Source organism: Homo sapiens, chromosome 3 (assembly GCF_000001405.40).
Source record: "Homo sapiens chromosome 3, GRCh38.p14 Primary Assembly".
NCBI classification, from domain to species: domain Eukaryota; kingdom Metazoa; phylum Chordata; class Mammalia; order Primates; family Hominidae; genus Homo; species Homo sapiens.
Genome location: NC_000003.12, coordinates 72,826,209 through 72,842,813, shown reverse-complemented (window position 1 = coordinate 72,842,813; position 16,605 = coordinate 72,826,209). Strand labels below are relative to the sequence as shown.

General features: G+C 39.5%; 1 protein-coding gene across 7 annotated transcripts in view; it reads left to right on the top strand.

Annotated features, from left to right (window-relative positions):
- Positions 1–16,605, top strand: part of SHQ1 (SHQ1, H/ACA ribonucleoprotein assembly factor) — a 123,174-nt gene that overhangs the window by 5,632 nt on the left and 100,937 nt on the right. For all 7 annotated transcript variants that reach the window (XR_001740192.3, NM_018130.3, XM_011533898.3 and 4 more), the window contains exons 3-5: positions 412–534; positions 1,615–1,769; positions 10,333–10,445. Coding sequence is in view for 6 of the 7 variants with exons in the window: in NM_018130.3 (NP_060600.2) it covers positions 412–534; positions 1,615–1,769; positions 10,333–10,445 (391 nt within the window). In the remaining variant the exon portion in view is untranslated. The remainder of the gene's footprint in view (positions 1–411; positions 535–1,614; positions 1,770–10,332; positions 10,446–16,605) is intronic.

Below are 16,605 nucleotides of genomic sequence, written 5' to 3'. Positions count from 1 at the left end.
GTGAGCCACCTTACCCAGCCAGATTAATAATTTTTGATAGAAATGACAGCTTCTGAAAAACCCTTGTTAAGAACCTTTTTCTATCTTGACTTGTATTCACCAAATCTATGAGGGCATAGTTTTAGAGCCTGTAAAATAGAATTATGTTTTACCAAGACATGTATTTCTCAGATATATTTGTGAAGTCTTTGACTATTTTATTTATTTATTTTTTTCTTTTAATTAAAATGATTTTATTATTATTTTCTGTAGAGATGGGGTCTTGGTATGTTGCCCAGGCTGGTCTTGAACTCCTGGGCTAAAATGATCCTCCTGCCTCAGACTGCCAGAGTATTGGGATTACTGGTGTAAGCTATTGTGCCCAGCTTTTTAAATATTTTAATCTAAGCATAAAACAAATTTATCTTTAAGGAATTTTTACCATTCGCCTGCCCAAAGAAACCCCTGGCCAGCATTTTGAGGGGCTGAACATGTTAACTGCTCTTCTGGCACCAAGAAAATCCAGGACAGCAAAACCACTTGTGGAAGAAATAGGTATGTTTATTACAGTTGGGAGGAAATTAGGATAAATAGAAATATTTGGAATGCTGTGTATTTGTAGGGGAAATGGGATATAGTGAATAGGAAATTGAAGAAAATACTTCAGGTATAAGGTGATCATGTGAAACCATATGAAAATAGCTTCTTTGGTGATATAATTAAGACATTAAAAATCCTATTGAACCAGATCACTCACATTTTTGGACCAATTGAAACAACATTTTGTGGTTGGCAAAATATTAGCATCTTGAGCTAAGATCAGAAGTATACAGTTAAGTGAGTTACGTAAAACAGGGGTCCCCAACCCTCAGGTTGCAGACCAGTACTGATCCATGGCCCGTTAGGAACCTGGCTGCACAACAGGAGGTGAGCGGAGGGCCAGGAGTATTACTGCCTGAGCTCTGGCTCCTGTCAGATCAGATTAGATTCTCATAGGAGCATGAACTTACTGTGAACTGTGCCTGCGAAGGGTCTAGGTTGTGTGCTCCCTATGAGAATCTAAAGCCTGATGATCTGAGGTAGAACAGTTTCATCCCCCAAAACTATCTCTTTACCTCTTTGATCTGTGGAAAAGTTGTCTTCCACAAATCCGGTCTCTGGTGCCAAAAAGTTTGGGAACCACTGATGTAAAGTGAACACCACCTCTGTCAAGAAATGGAGCATTTCCAACACCCGAAGAATACCATCCTGTATTCTTCCATTACTTTGCCCTCTCTCCAGGGTAACCACTATCCTCTGTTTTGCCTGTTTTTACGTTGCATATGTAGATCATACAGTATGTGTTCTTTTTGTCTGGCTGCTTTCACTTAACATTATTTTTGTGAGATTTATTCATATTCTAGCTGAGATTCGTTTGCTTTCATTGCTCTGTAATATTCCATTGTATGAACATACCACATTTTTGGTTCTTTTTTTTTTTTTGCTGTCACGAATAGCGGAGCTATGAATATTCTTTTAGTACATTTGGTATATGTCTTTTGGTACATCTTTGTGGGCATTTTTTCCTATACTTTTTCTTCCCCTAGTTGTACTTAAATCCAATACTTAAAAAAAATTAAAATTTAACACATTCAGGTGCTTCTGAGATTCCTGAGGAAGTAGTTGACGATGAAGAGTTTGATTGGGAAATTGAGCAGACACCCTGTGAAGAGGTATCAGAAAGTGCTTTGAATCCGCAGTGCCACTATGGATTTGGAAACTTACGATCAGGAGTGTTGCAACGGTTACAGGTATGTTGTCTTTCTGAAAGATCTTGATCTATAGGGTTTTTCCATTTGGATATTTTAATTTCAGTTATGCTTACACTTGGTAGTTTTTAAAAATAATATTACAGGAGGTGATTGTATTTAAAGCACTTAGCACAGCTAAAGTACATAGATGTGCATTCCCTTCCATTTCATTGGCTGTTCTGCCTAACTGTACTGCTCTTACAGACACCCCGTGGCTTTCTTTTTTCTCCCCTTTATTCAGTATTCTAGACATGAAGTTTCCCAAGTACAAAGCAGAACTCCTCTCTCATACTTCCTGCAAAGCTTTATGTTTTATACTTCTGAAAAGTGAGATCATGTACTTACGGCATGATGTCTCTTCTTTTCTGTATATAAATGAAATAGAATGTTCCTGGCGAGAATGAGATTGTGTGTTTTGATCAAATTGTCTAATTCTTGGTGTATAGTAGGCACCATTTTCTATTCTCTTTTTTTTTTTTTTTTTGAGACGGAGTCTTACCCTGTCGCCAAGGCTGGAGTGCAGTGCAGTGGCACGATCTCGGCTGATGGCAGCCTCTGCCTCTAGGGTTCAAGCAATTCTTCTGCCTCAGCCTCCTGAGTAGCTGGGATTACAGGTGCCTACCACCACGCCTGGCTAGTTTTTGTATTTTTTGCGGAGATGGGGTTTTACCATGTTGGCCAGGATGGTCTCAAACTCAAGTGATTTGCCTGCCTTGGCCTCCCAAAGTTCTGGGATTATAGGCATGAGCCACTGTGACCAGCCTATTGTTTATTTATTCTTTTTTTTTTTTTTTTTTTTTTTAAGACAGAGTCTCACTTTGCTGGAGTGCAGTGGCACGATCTTGGCTCACTGCAACCTCTGCCTCCCGGGTCCAAGTGATTGTCCTGCCTCAGCCTCCCAAGTAGCTGGGATTACAGGCGCCCATCACCACGCCTGGCTAATTTTTCTATTTTTAGTAGAGATGGAGTTTTGCCATGTTGGCCAAATTAGCCGGATGTGGTGGTGCGTGTAATCCCAGCAGTTTGGGAGGCTGAGGCGGGTGGATCACGAGGTCAGGAGCTCGTGACCATCTTGGCTAACACGGTGAAACCCCATCTCTACTAAAAATACAAAAAATTAGCCAGGCATGGTGGCACCCACCTGTAGTCCCAGCTACTCAGGAGGCTGAGGCAGGAGAATCCCTTGAACCCGGGAAGCAGAGGTTGCAGTGAGCTGAGATCTCGCCACTGCACTCCAGCCTGGGCAACAGTGTGAGACTCTGTCTCAAAGAACAAACACAACAAAACAAAACCTGTTTAGAATGTGGTTTATTATCTTAAGACATATTTGAATTTACGAAGGAGAGGGAAAAGACCTGGGTTCTGGTCCCGCTCCTACCTCTGTTAAGATTTGGGATACCAGGCCAGTTATTTGACCACAAGTAAGTTTTGTCTCCTCTTTGGAAAGTGGAGATAAATTTGCCCACCTACTTTATAAGGCTGTCTTGAAAATTTAAAAAGATAATGCATGTGAAAACTCTTTGGAAAGTGTAGAATGCTGTAAAGACTCCTGCCTTTGAAAAATATAAAATGGTCTCAAAATTCCTTAAAGGGAACAACATTGAGATTTACTTAGGAGCAAATGCTGGTGAAATAGCCTTCCTTCTAAAAACTTAGGTGTTTTTCTGCTGAGTTGTGGTCTGCCCATATTCTCTGCTTGATCACAATCGCTGGTGATCTCAGAGGTAATTAGAGTAGAGTCAGTTTTGTCTGTAGCAGGAACTACAGTGAATGGCCCTCAATTGTTGGCCAAGAGATAGTTTGTGGTCAGGCTGTTTTGGGCTTGCCAATCTAACGCTGTACATGAATGATAATAAATGTCACACAGGCTAAGTATGGATTTTACATTTACATTAGAAGTGCTTCTTTGAGGCCAGGGATTTGTTACTTAATTGTTGCTTCTGTTTACGGAAAATCCTTTTGAAAGATTTCTGACAGGTTGCTGAGATGTTGTAGGAATGCCATAATGTGAGCCTAGAATGAGTGCCTTTTAGGTCAGAAATTCTTGTATCTTGAAAATGTTCACTTAATAATTTAGGTTTTTTTTTTTTTTTAAGCTGCTATACTTTCTTTTTGGATGTCTTAACTAATGTATCAAATACCTAGACATCTATTACTTAGGTTAAAAACATTAAACATTAACCAATATAGTTGACTCCTGTCTAATCCCTTTTTGTTTACATCCCTCTGTTTCCCATCAGAAATAAACCACTGTGGCTGGGTGCAGTGGCTCACACCTGTAATTCCAGCACTTTGGGAGGCTGAGGCAGGCGGGTCAGGAGTTTGAGACCAGTCTAGCCAACATGGCAAAACCCTGTCTCTACTTAAAAATACAAAAATTAGCTGAGCGTGGTGGCGCATGCCTGTAATCCCAGCCATTTTGGAGGCTGGCAGGAGAATCGCTTGAACCCAGGAGGCAGAGGTTGCAGGGAGCCGAGATTGCGCCACTGCACTCCATCCAGTCTGGGTGACAGAGTGAGACTACATCTCAAAAAAATAAAAAAGGAAATGAACCACTGAATTTAATGTTTATTATTCTAAGCTTTTAAAATGGCTTAATCATCTAAAATCATTAAACTCTTCTTCAAATTTTAATTGCAAGAGCATTGCTTTTCTAAACAATTTGAATGAATATTCCCTAATGTAGGGGAAAAACAACTGAGCATTTGGGAAAACTCTAAGGGTTTTATAACGTAAATAGTATACTACTTGTAGTACAGGTTTATAACCCCATATGTGCAATACTGGGATCACACAAAGTTCTGAAAACTAAAAGTTAAAATATTTAATTTGGTGGCAAAACTTAACCTGAACCGATACAGATTTTTAAATCCCACTTAGTGTACGTATTCAAAAATTTCCTGTAGAAGTAGTGTTTGGATATGGGCGCTGCCCCAGACATCTTAGAGGTTATTACATAAAGTATGGTGTGTGCACCATGTTACCTTTCTAAACTCTGAAAGAGTGAATCCTGAAGCTCACCTTGCTCCAGGGGATTTGGATAGCACTGTGCTGAGCACTGCGTGTGCAGCAACCAGACTTAGAAATCAAGTGTAAGCCCAAGATTCCAAAAATTGAAATGTATCCTCTTGAAGATATTAAGGTAGATAGGTTTTATGAAATATTGCCACAGAAATCTTGCATAATTGGTTAATTACTTGTAGAGTTCTTCTTCATTCACAGCTGCTGTTTATGGCAGCCGTAACAAGTGGTTCAAAACTGAGTGATCATGTAAGGTTAATAATATGACCCTAATTCTATGAGTAAAGCAGCTAGAAGAAACTGAAATGATGATCACAAATAAGAGATTTTAGAACATCTTTTCTAATTTAAAATGATTTTGAAAACTTCACCATTTTCTCAAATAGTATTTTCTCACAAGTTTATTTTTTCTAGTTCTGCCTATAGATGAAGAGATGTCCATACAGCTTCATTGACTACTCATATGAGTATTTTTACAGCTTTTTCCTCCCCCTGTAGATGAAAAATGGCTTTTTTGTTTCTAATAATAAAAGCAATACAGATTTATTATAAAAATATACAAAGAAGAAAGTAAAAAAATTATTCATAATTTCAACACTGAGGGATCTTTTCTTCATTGAATAATTTAGCCCTTTACAGAAGTCTTTCATATTTTTTTGCCTCCAACTTTTTAGACAGGATTTGTTTGTAAACATCTATATTTTATACTGATAATAAGAAAATAAAATATTTTTGCTGAAACAAATTCTCTTTGAACATTCCTCCCTCCACTCCCCATACCCAGAGATATATTCTTCCTATCCCCAGTCTTTTTTTCCTTTCTGAAATTGCTGCCAGCCACCAGGGTGCCTTTGGAAAACTGCCCTAGCTGCTCAAAGTCAGGACTTCACAACAAGCTTCTGGCAGTGGTGGCTGCCAGCAGCAACAATCCTAGAGTCTCTGGGCGCCAACCCAGCAAGCTCCTGGGACTGCTGCTGCCAGTGCTGCAGGACGCCAGGCTTGCTGGCCCTGTCCTTTTGGCTACACAGGGACCTGAGGCCATTGTTTCCGGGATACCCACTAGCCAGATGTGTTCATTGTTCTTTATTTTCTTTCTGGATTGTCTCTGCCTAACCTGTGCCTAAACTTCCATAAACTTAATTTAAATCCTACCTGACCTTTTCTTGGCAATGTCTATCTTTAAATAGCTCTAATAACTAGTGGCCATAGCAATTGTTTAAAAGAAAAAGGAACCTTTTTTTCCTACTGTAGTTGAACACTTCTCATCCTCTTTCTTCCCTTTGGTTGATTAATGCCTTCTACTTCTAAACCCCAAGCTACCTTTGCTTTTAGTTTGTTTCTGTTTCTTTTTAGAGTCCAGTTTGAACAGGGCTGCTGCATGTGACTGTGCATAGAACAAGCCTGGGTGGGGCTTGCACTGCTCTGAACACTCATGTTCTGCTGTGTACATGTTGCATGACTATAGTGGAGGCCCTGAATCTGGAGGCCAGGGGGAAGAGGAAAGAGGAAAAAGAGCTGCTTTCTTTTTTTTTTTTGAGACGGAGTCTTGCTTTGTTGCCCAGGCTGGAGTGCAGTGGCGTGATCTCAGCTCACTGCAAGCTCCGCCTCCCGGGTTCACCCCATTTTCCTGCCTCAGCCTCCCGAGTAGCTGGGACTACAGGTGCCCGCCACCACACCCGGCTAATTTTTTGTATTTTTAGTAGAGACGGGGTTTCACCGTGTTAGCCAGGATGATCTCTATCTCCTGACCTGGTGATCTGCCCGCCTTGGCCTCCCAAAGTGCTGGGATTACAGGCGTGAGCCACAATGCCTGTCCAAGAGCTGCTTTCTTATTGGTCAGTTCTCCTTCCCATGAGAGTAGAGACCTGGTCTGTGTGCTGTGTGTTTATTACTGGATTTCCACTTTGGCACCCAGAACAGTTTCTACTCCATAGCAGGCCCTCTAGCACTATTTGCAGAATAGATGATTTAATATTGGACACCGGGCACAGTGATGGGGATACAGTGAAGAAGATGATAGATGAGATCTCTACCCTCAGAGAACATTCTAGTGAGGAGATGGACAGTAATTATGTAAACACATAACAAGTAAACAGGATAATGACAGATAGTTACAGGTAAAGGGAAAGGATGGGGTGAGGTGAAAGACTGGGGGTACTACTTTGGCTAGGATGCCCAGAGAAGACTCCTTTGAGAAAGTGACATTTGCACTGAGTTCTCAATGATGAGAAGGGTACTGTAAGCGTAAAGGCTCAGGATTGGAATTGATTGACGTTATCTAGAAATGGAAAGAATAGTGAGTGGCTTGAGCGTATTTGAGCCAGAAGAGGACGGTGAACATGGGGTTGAAGAACAAGATGGGCTAGATTGTGCAGAGCTGTGCTCACAGTCTGGGGCTACTCTCAGCGCAGTTAGAGTTTTTAAATTTCTGGGGTTATGTCGGTCCATTTACCCTCTGAAATGTAGAGTTGTCTACAGAGACTCACAGGTTATACCCCATTTATGACTTTATTTCTGGTCAAGGTGAAATAATGAAGCAGAACATGTAAGTCTGTGTTTTAAAATTGCTATTAGCAAGTGAGGAAATGGAAGTGGAGGGGAGGCTTTGTACTCAGTAGGAAGTTTGCCAGTGAGTAACAGGGAGCAGCAGTGGAAGAGGGAGACAGAGAGAAAGGAAACCGACATTATTGAATGTATTGAGGCCTCTGCTTGTTCCTTACTTGTATTATCTCATTTAATCCTCACAACAGCCTGTAGTACAGAAAACTGTCCCCTTCCCCAAAAAAATGTCCTTGTGCTTCTCCCCAGAATATGTTACATTATGTTGCAAAAGGTATTTTGCAGATTTGGTTATGTTGAGGATGTTGAGATGGGGAGAGTATCCTGGATACTCTGTCTCAAAAAAAAAAAAAAAAAAGAAGCTGATGGAGGAATGGTATTATGATGTGGGGCTGCAAACCAAGGAATGAGGACAGCTTCTAAGATGGTATGGACAAACAATCTCTCCTAGAACCTCTAGAAAGGAGTGTAGCCCTTGATTTTAGCTCAGGGAGACTGATTTTGGTCTTCTGACTTCCAGAACTGTAAGATAATAAATGTGCATTGTGTTAAGCCCAAGTTTGTGCAAATTTGTTATAGCACAGGAAGCAAAGAGGAAACTAATACCTAGTGCTGTGATAGAGATGTTACTGGACTTGACAGTAAGAAAGCTGAGGTTCAGAGAGTCTGCATGATTCCACTGGAGCTGAGATGTAGATCCAGAACTTTTTGAGCACCAGCATGGCACTCAAAGGAAAATACTACATAATAGTATTTCAGTAGGATATGGTATAATATATTCTAATTCTCCAAAAAGTAAATTGCAAAGGAACTTTTGGAATGTAAATTTTTGTAAGTTTGGAGACAGCCAGTAATCTGGTTTTTGCCCAGAATGTTTGTACTTGACAACATTAAGATGTTCTGGATGTTCCAGTGACGACGACTTCTTTTTTTTTGAGATGGAGTCTTGCTCTATTGCCCAAGCTGGAGTGCAGTGGCACGATCTCATCTCACTGCAACCTCCACCTTCTGGGTTCAAAGAATTCTCCTGCCTCAGCCTCCTGAGTAGCTGGGATTACAGGTGCACGCCACCACACCTGGCTAATTTTTGTATTTTTTAGTAGAGACGGGGTTTCGCCATGTTGGCCAGACTGGTCTTGAACTCCTGACCTCAGGTGATCCGCCCGCCTTGGCCTCCCGAAGTGCTGGGATTACAGGCATGAGCCACTGGGCCCGGCCTGTTCCAGTGACTTCTAAAAAGGTCTCTGGACCCTTTTTATTATATTAGTATGTGCTTAGATGAAATATTATTGATACTACTTAAGCTAAATGGATTGTGATAGGGATGAGAGAATTTTAAAATTATTATATGGAAATTTTGATTGGAGAGGCTCTATCCTATCTCTAACTGATTCAGCATTGCTCACATTTGTTGCAGTGGTTTTTGCATTACAGCCATCAACTTTTAAACTTGCCTATTAGGCACCAACCTATAAGTCTGTTTATAAATGTCTTAACAGTTTGCTTTCTCAACTCTCTAAGTTATTTCCCTTGATTTCTTTTCAGCTAATATTCTTTAAGCTTCTTCCAGTTTCTGTACTTCTCACTTGTGGTTGGTAGCAGGAGTAGTGAGACAGAAGAAAGAAAAAAAGACACAATTTTAGGAGTATTTCACATTGTATAAGGTTTCTTTGCTTCGCAATTCTGGTGAAACGAATAAAGACCATATGGCATCCTAGGCAGTTTTCCTAATGTCCATTTATTCTGTAGGATTTGGCTTGGGAAACATGTTCCATATCAGTATGTATGCATCTAGGCAAAGGCAATGACAGGAAAACTGATTCTTAGGATTCGACTTTTACATTTTTCAATGGAAAGTCATATACTGTGCATCAAAATTGCCCGTAAAAATTCTATCTATCTATCTATCTATCTATCTATCTATCTATCTGTCTATCATCCATCTATCTGTCTGTCTGTCTGTCTATCTATCTATCTATCTATCTATCTATCTATCTATCTATCTATCTATCTATCTATCATCTCTGATAGAGTCTGGCTCTGTCGCCCAGGCCAGAGTGCAGTGGCATGATCTTGGCTCACTGCAGCCTCCATCTCCTGGGCTCAAGCCATCCTCCCACCTCAGCCTCCCTTGTAGCTGGGACTACAAGCATGAGCCACCATGCCTGGCTAATTTTTGTATTTTTTGTGGAGATGGGGTTTCTCCATGTTGCCCAGGGTGGTTCGAACTCCTGGGCTCAAGCAGTCTGCCTGCCTTGGCCTCCCAAAGTGCTGGGGTTACAGGAGTGAGCCACCACACCCAGCTTGTATGTAGTCTTTTACAGGATCTGAAATCTGAAATGGTCCAAAATCCAAAACTTTTTGAGCACAAACATGGCACTCAAAGGAAATACTCTTTGGAGCATTTCGCATGTGGGATTATTGGAATAGGGCTGCTTAACTGGTATAATGCAAGTATTCCAAAATTTAGAAATATTCAAGATCCAAAACACTCTCTTCCCAAGCATTTTGTATAAGGGATATTCAATCTGTACGGTAATGCTTCTTTAGACCAGCTGAGCTAGACTATAGGAAGAAAGAAGAGACCGTGTAGATGTCTGAAAATCCAGCCACTCTACGTTTAATAACTTTCAAATCTCTAGGTGTAAATGGGGAAATGGATGTTGAGTTAAATGTTCCTGCTTGCTTGTAGGGGTTTATTCCATTCTGTTTTTTATGTTAAACTTTTATAGCCTTAATATCTGTCAGTCAGCTTGTTTGTTGTAAGGATTAAATGAGATAATTTATGAGAAAGATCTCACAGGCCCTACCAAGTAGTAGGTGCTTAAACATTTGTTGGATTTGAATCTAAATGTCACAGGTGGCATCATGGTTTACTGATCAGTTAGGTTCTTCCTGTGCTTTGGCATTTTGTATAAAATTTGAGTTTTAAATGCTAAAAATAGGAGATAGCAATTATTCTTTCTTTTCTGGGTGTCCTCAGGATGAACTGAGTGATGTTATTGATATTAAGGATCCAGATTTCACCCCTGCAGCTGAACGAAGACAGAAGCGCCTGGCCGCTGAGCTGGCCAAGTTTGATCCTGATCATTATCTGTGAGTAATGAGATTTTTGAGGATTAAATAATTTACTTGACATTTATTTTAAAATTTTTGAGTGTCTTTTAAACTCTGCTAGGGATGTGCATTTCGGATTCCAGAAATTATTGATGACTGAAGACCTTAATGGACATTTGAATTAACCTACAATGGTTGTACCTCTGTAATCTTTGTAAGATGTTGCCTCTTATATCTCAAGTTGTTCATCTTAGCAACAGAGAACTCTTCTAACATACTTTTTAGTTTTTTTCTCGCCAGGCTTAAAAATATAATACTGAATTCATGAGACTATTACACTTCTTTTAAGTAAACTTTTGGTTGTGATTAATGGTATGCATAAATGAAAATATGTTTCAATTTCTTTAAGAATTTAAATGTACCTGTACCACATTTCTTGGCTGATCCCAGGATCTTCCTAATAACTTTCATCCACTAGCCCTTGTAATCAGTGATATGTTTCCAATGAACAAATAATTATTCTTCGTGGTAGAGAATAAATAGAATCTAATTTGAAGTTTTGCTGTATTATTTCCCACTGGCATTAATTGTGTTTTTGGCTATAATGTATCTCCATCAGGCTTAAATTTGCATAAAGAACTTATCTAATTAACAGATAGGTACATGATGACTTGAGAGATTGTGATACCTCCCACTGGCCAGGATAGCAGCATTTCTTCCAAGGATTGTCGCTTGACCTCTCTTGGACATGTGGCTCTGCTAGGATGCGTGGAGAATGAGGGTTTTATGTTGATGTAGACCTTAATTATTAATTCTGGGTCAAGATTTTCCAAACTGTTACATATATAGCTATAATCATCATATCTCCTTATATTGGTATAGTACCTGCAGCTTATAAAGTGCACTCATGTGATTATTCAGTTTTCACAACAGATGAGGAGAGGAGTTTAAGGGACTTGCTCAAGGTCACACTACTACTAAGTGGCTTGGCCAAGACTTGAAAAGAGTCTCTCCATTTGTCATTTTGTATATCCTTTTCATGTACACTATTTCAGTTTAACTGCTGTAGCTCTCGTGATTAACATTCTATCTCCTGTGACACAGTAGGATACTAATTGGAATGGCAGGGATATATCTTGTGATGTGCAAATGGAATGAGTGATGTGTAATGATAAATGGTTGAACTGTTCAACATCCTAAGGGAAACTGGGTAAGAGCAGGGTATGTTACATTTTGGAGGACATCTGAGAGATTCAACTCCATTTACACTGCTATTTCTAATTACCTTTATCTCTCCAATTGTGGTTTTAAAGGTCCACTGAAGAGCAATTTGAAGAAACCCATTTAAAATCATGCTGAATATTTAAAGTGGAAATTTCATTGTCAGCAAATTTCTCAGGCTAGCATAAAAACAGAATGAACTTTACAAGACTGAAATTTCAAGTGGGAGGGAGCTTAATTAGAAGAACTGCCTATCTCCTCTCTTCTAAAACTAGAAGAATAACTATGGCCTGAGAGAATTAGGAAATTGGAATTTATAGTTAGCAGTGTGATATTATAAGCAGCCCTTATTTTTCTCCATCTTCTGTGTGTCTTTATCCAGAAGCTCATTTTCTTTAATACTATGCATGAAATATTCTTTCCACTTCTCAAAGAACTGTTCTTACAAGAATGGTTTAAATTTAGTTATGGGCTAAGTGAGGAGAGTGGGAGTCATGAGGTAAAGATTCTTTGTGACTTTTCTGATAGCAGTAAGACTTTGGCTCAGTGTAATTTTTGTGTTACTACTCACTATTTATATTAGCTGACTGACTCACCCAAATGTATTAATATTAAATGAAATGCAACTAAAATTCTTTTTAATTTTTATTTAAAAATTCTTTTTTTTAGCTCAGTGCTTTTTTTTCTTGTTGTTAGTGGTTAAAACAGTGGAGAAAAAAAGGCTCACTTTAAATTACTATCACCATGCAGATAATACATTGTGATATACACATGTAATACATAATGTATATAATATTAGCATAATAATGTATATAAGATTAGCATAATATTACCTATTTGTAAGTTGTTTGACTTGTCTTTACAAGTCATAGTGTTTCCTCATGTTGTCAGGATTTGGGGGGCTTTAGGAAAATGAATTTTAATTTCAGCCTAAGCAGAACACGGTGAAGTCAGTTGATTGTAAAGAAAAATTTATACATTTCAAAGGCACATATATGATTTTAGATTGTTATTTAAAAGTCTTTTATTGTAAAATCTGGATGTTATTTTGGTATAATCTGTTTTTTTTTTTTTGGCATGTTTTGCAGCTCACTATAGTGCTGGGCATGTAACAGATGATCCATAAATGTTGATTGTTTTTTATTATCCATTTCTTATTTGTAATTCCTTTGGGGTATTATTTTTACACTAAAATATGTTGACAGCATCTTGAAGCATTTCTTAATAGTCATTCCTCACTGCTTATTATTATAGCCAAGTATTCATACTTCTCTTGCTGAGAGTGTTTGGTTTTCTTCTTCCCAAATAGTTTTCTAATTGTTGGCATACATTTTACATTAACCAGTTCATAAAATCTTGCCTATTTCTTTGGGAGAAAACAAAAGAATTCAGTCAGTATTCTAAACATCTGTGAGATAAGAAAAGGGACAAAAATGATCTTATACCATTTGTTGTACCATTTTAAATTGTGATAATTTTTCATTACTCTAAATTTGTGAAAAAAGATGTATATTAATTAAGTTCTTGGGTTTATTGAGTAGATATTAAGACAACAAATAGTAATTGGATGGCTGGGAGCAAGATCACCTGCTTCTGAGGTGGCTCTCAATTCAAAACACAGAACTTGAGAAAAAGCATTAGAATACAATTTTATGTATCCCTTCTTTCATTTATGTATTTATTTGTTCAACAAATATTTGTCTGAATGAAGTACATGCTAAGCAGTGTCATAGATACCAAAGACACCGTGGTGCCTACGGCAAGATCTCAATCTCTGTGTTGTCCATGGGGCTTCCATTGTAGTGGAGGAAGTAGACACTATTTTTATTGTAATTAAGTGCTATGAAGAAGAAGCGTACTAAAGGGGTTTTATTGTAATCAAGTGCTATGAAGAAGAAGCATATTGAAGAGAGTGACTAGGCATCCCACTGACTTGACTCCTCTGTTCAACATGTCCAAAATTGAACTCATCCTTTTACTTCTAAAGTCTTTGTGAATTTTCTAACTTGATTGATGCCCCATTTTTCACTCTATTCACCCAGGTTAGAAAGCGGGGATTCATCTTTGCCTTCTTTCTTATCCCACACATTCAATCAATCCTGAAGTTGTACCATTTTTCTCTGTAGTATTTTTTTTTTTTTTCACTTCATCAGTTTCTGGCCCTCATCTGTGTCTGGTTTAGTGCAGCACTCACTAACTGCCTAACTGGCATCCCTGCTTCTAGTCTGGACTTCTTCAGATCCATCAACCATGAACCATTAGTATGATGTCTTACGTGCTGAAAATGAAAATCTGCTTAACTCTGTCCTTGGTGCTCTTCTGCTTAAAGTACCTAACTCCTTTGTGTGTCATCGCAATTTCTCTGTGATCCCGACCCTGCCTACCTCTGTAGCTTCACTTTTGCCACTCCCTGCTCACGTTTTACACCACAGCAATAATGAATGTTTGCATTTCCCCACCTATACCACACGGCTTTTCTCTCTCTTTTTTTTGAGACAGAGTCTTGCTCTGTCGCCCAGGCTGGAGTGCAGTGGTGCGATCTTGGCTCACCACAGCCTCTGCCTCCCGGGGTTCAAGTCATTCTCCCGCCTCAGCCTCCTGAGTAGCTTAGATTACAGGTGTGCACCACCATGCCCAGCTAACTTGTATTTTTAATAGAGACCAGAGTTTCACCATGTTGGCCAGGCTGGTCTTGAACTCCTGACCTCAAGTGATCCACCTGCCTTGGCCTCCCAAAGTGTTGGGATTACAGACATGAGCCACCACGCCCAACCCACACTGCTTCTCATATATTTCCTTTTATCATGGTATCCCTTTGCCATTTATTTCCCCTGACCCCACATTGCCTGAATAGTGGTTGCTTATCTCCTCAGACTAGGCTCATTGTTTCTTCCATGCACTTGCCCTGTTAGACTGGCTTAGGAAGCCCACCTCAGTGCTCCCCTGTTACAGTTTGTCTTGTTTTTTACCGCATTGTTTTATAATGTTCTGTATTTGTGTACATGGTTCTCCTTAAATTGTGGAGTCCTTAAGGGCAGAAGTGAGTTTTACAGATCTTCATCTTCCTGATGATGCACGTAGAGGGCATTCAGTGAATGCTTGTTCAATTAGTGACCTTGAAAGTCTTGAAAAAGGCGGGGCATGGTGGCTCACGCCTGTAATCCCAGCACTTTGGGAGGCTGAGGGGGTGGGTCATGAGGTCAGGAGATTGAGACCATCCTGGCTAACATGGTGAAACCCCATCTCTACTAAAAATACAAAAAAATTAGCTGGGCATGGTGGCGGGCGCCTGTAGTCCCCGCTACTTGGGAGGCTGAGGCAGGAGAATGGCGTGAACCCAGGAGGCGGAGCTTGCAGTGAGCCGAGATTGCGCCACTGCACTCCAGCCTGGGCAACAGAGTGAGACTCTGTCTCAAAAAAAAAAAAAAAAAAAGTCTTGAAAAAAAATTGAGATCTCAGATGAAAAAACAGACAAAACTTGAAAGTAATTTATTATGAAAAGTAAAACATTAGTCACCGTCAGCGCTTGTTCATGAAACTCTTAATTCATGGACAATTCAAGCATAGACCACAGTTCAGATTACTAGGACTGTATTAGTGAAATTTTACTCAAAATAATCAAACATTTTGGAGGTGTTTTTGGTGGGGAGGGGGATGGAGGTGGTAGAAATACCATGTTACCAAGCCAGTTTTCTTTTTCCCTTCATCATGGTCCCTTGGGGAGGAAAACAGCATCTTTTCAGTTAGGCTCCTTTACTCTTGCCTTTGGTGTCCTCTGCGCTGTGGTGTCCAAGGCCCTTTTCTCTCACTGTGCCAGTTCTTCCTGGGCAATTTTATCCTCTTCTTGGTTTAAATGCTTATGACTCTCATATCTCTGTCTTGAGCATCAGACTTGTATGTCCACCTACCTATTGGATGGGTCTGTTTGTAAATCCTAAAAAAAGGCATGTCATACTCAACCTATCCCAAGCAGGAGTCGTTATTTCTCACTCATGTCTGTTAGCTTCCCTGTCTCAACGAAGGACACTGTTGTCCACTGAGTTGTGGAGGCCAGAATTCTCAGTGTCATTTTTCACTCCTCGAGCTCTTCATTCCCTACAACCTGAGGGTTCTGTCATCTACGTATAGGTCAGATTCATCCACTTTTCTCCATGTCCACTGCCACTCTCTTATCCTAGGCCACCATTATGTCTGCTTCTCCAGGTTTCTCCCTTTAAATCATTTTCCAGGCTGCAATAAGAGTGATGTTTCTAAACCATGCTAATGTCATTCCCCTATGTAAAAAGCTTTTAAGTGTTTAGTTGGTAGGGATAATCTTTGAGATTTTTTAAACATGGCTTACAAGGTGGTTGCCACTATATTATGTTCAGCTTCTTTCAACTTTTTTTCCCTTAAATGTGCCTTCTTGTTTTCTAGCCTTCGCCAACCAGTTTTTCATTACAGAATACTCTGTCCCACCCCCTTCATCTGGTTAACTGTTCATTATCATTCAACCATTGGTTTAGGTATTATATCCTCCAGGGTCCTTGCCTGTCATTCTAATTTATTTTGCCCTAGAATCCTGTACTGCTGATATGTCATAGCATTTTGCTATATTGTAATTGCTTGACTCTCCCATGGGATTGTAAGTTGTGTGAGGGCCAGGACTGTCTGTGTCTTGTCATGAATGGAACTCCAGTGCCTAACATGGATCATGGAACATGGGACAATGTCAGTACTTTCTGTTGAATGAATGACTTATTTAGCATTTTAGCCATTTATTGTTATTGTTTATCCCTTTGAAATTCATATCCTAGAAAAAAGCTCACGTTCTGATTTGTGGATGAGTTTATAGTAGAACTTCAATTCAAAAGAGTTCCTTCACTTTAAGGAGAAAGAGATAGCTAATAAGAAAATAGGCTTAGCAGGATTAGTTTATGAAGCAGCTATTTTGTCCTTGTCTCATATGTCTGTGCACCTGTTGGAAATTGTTATTGAG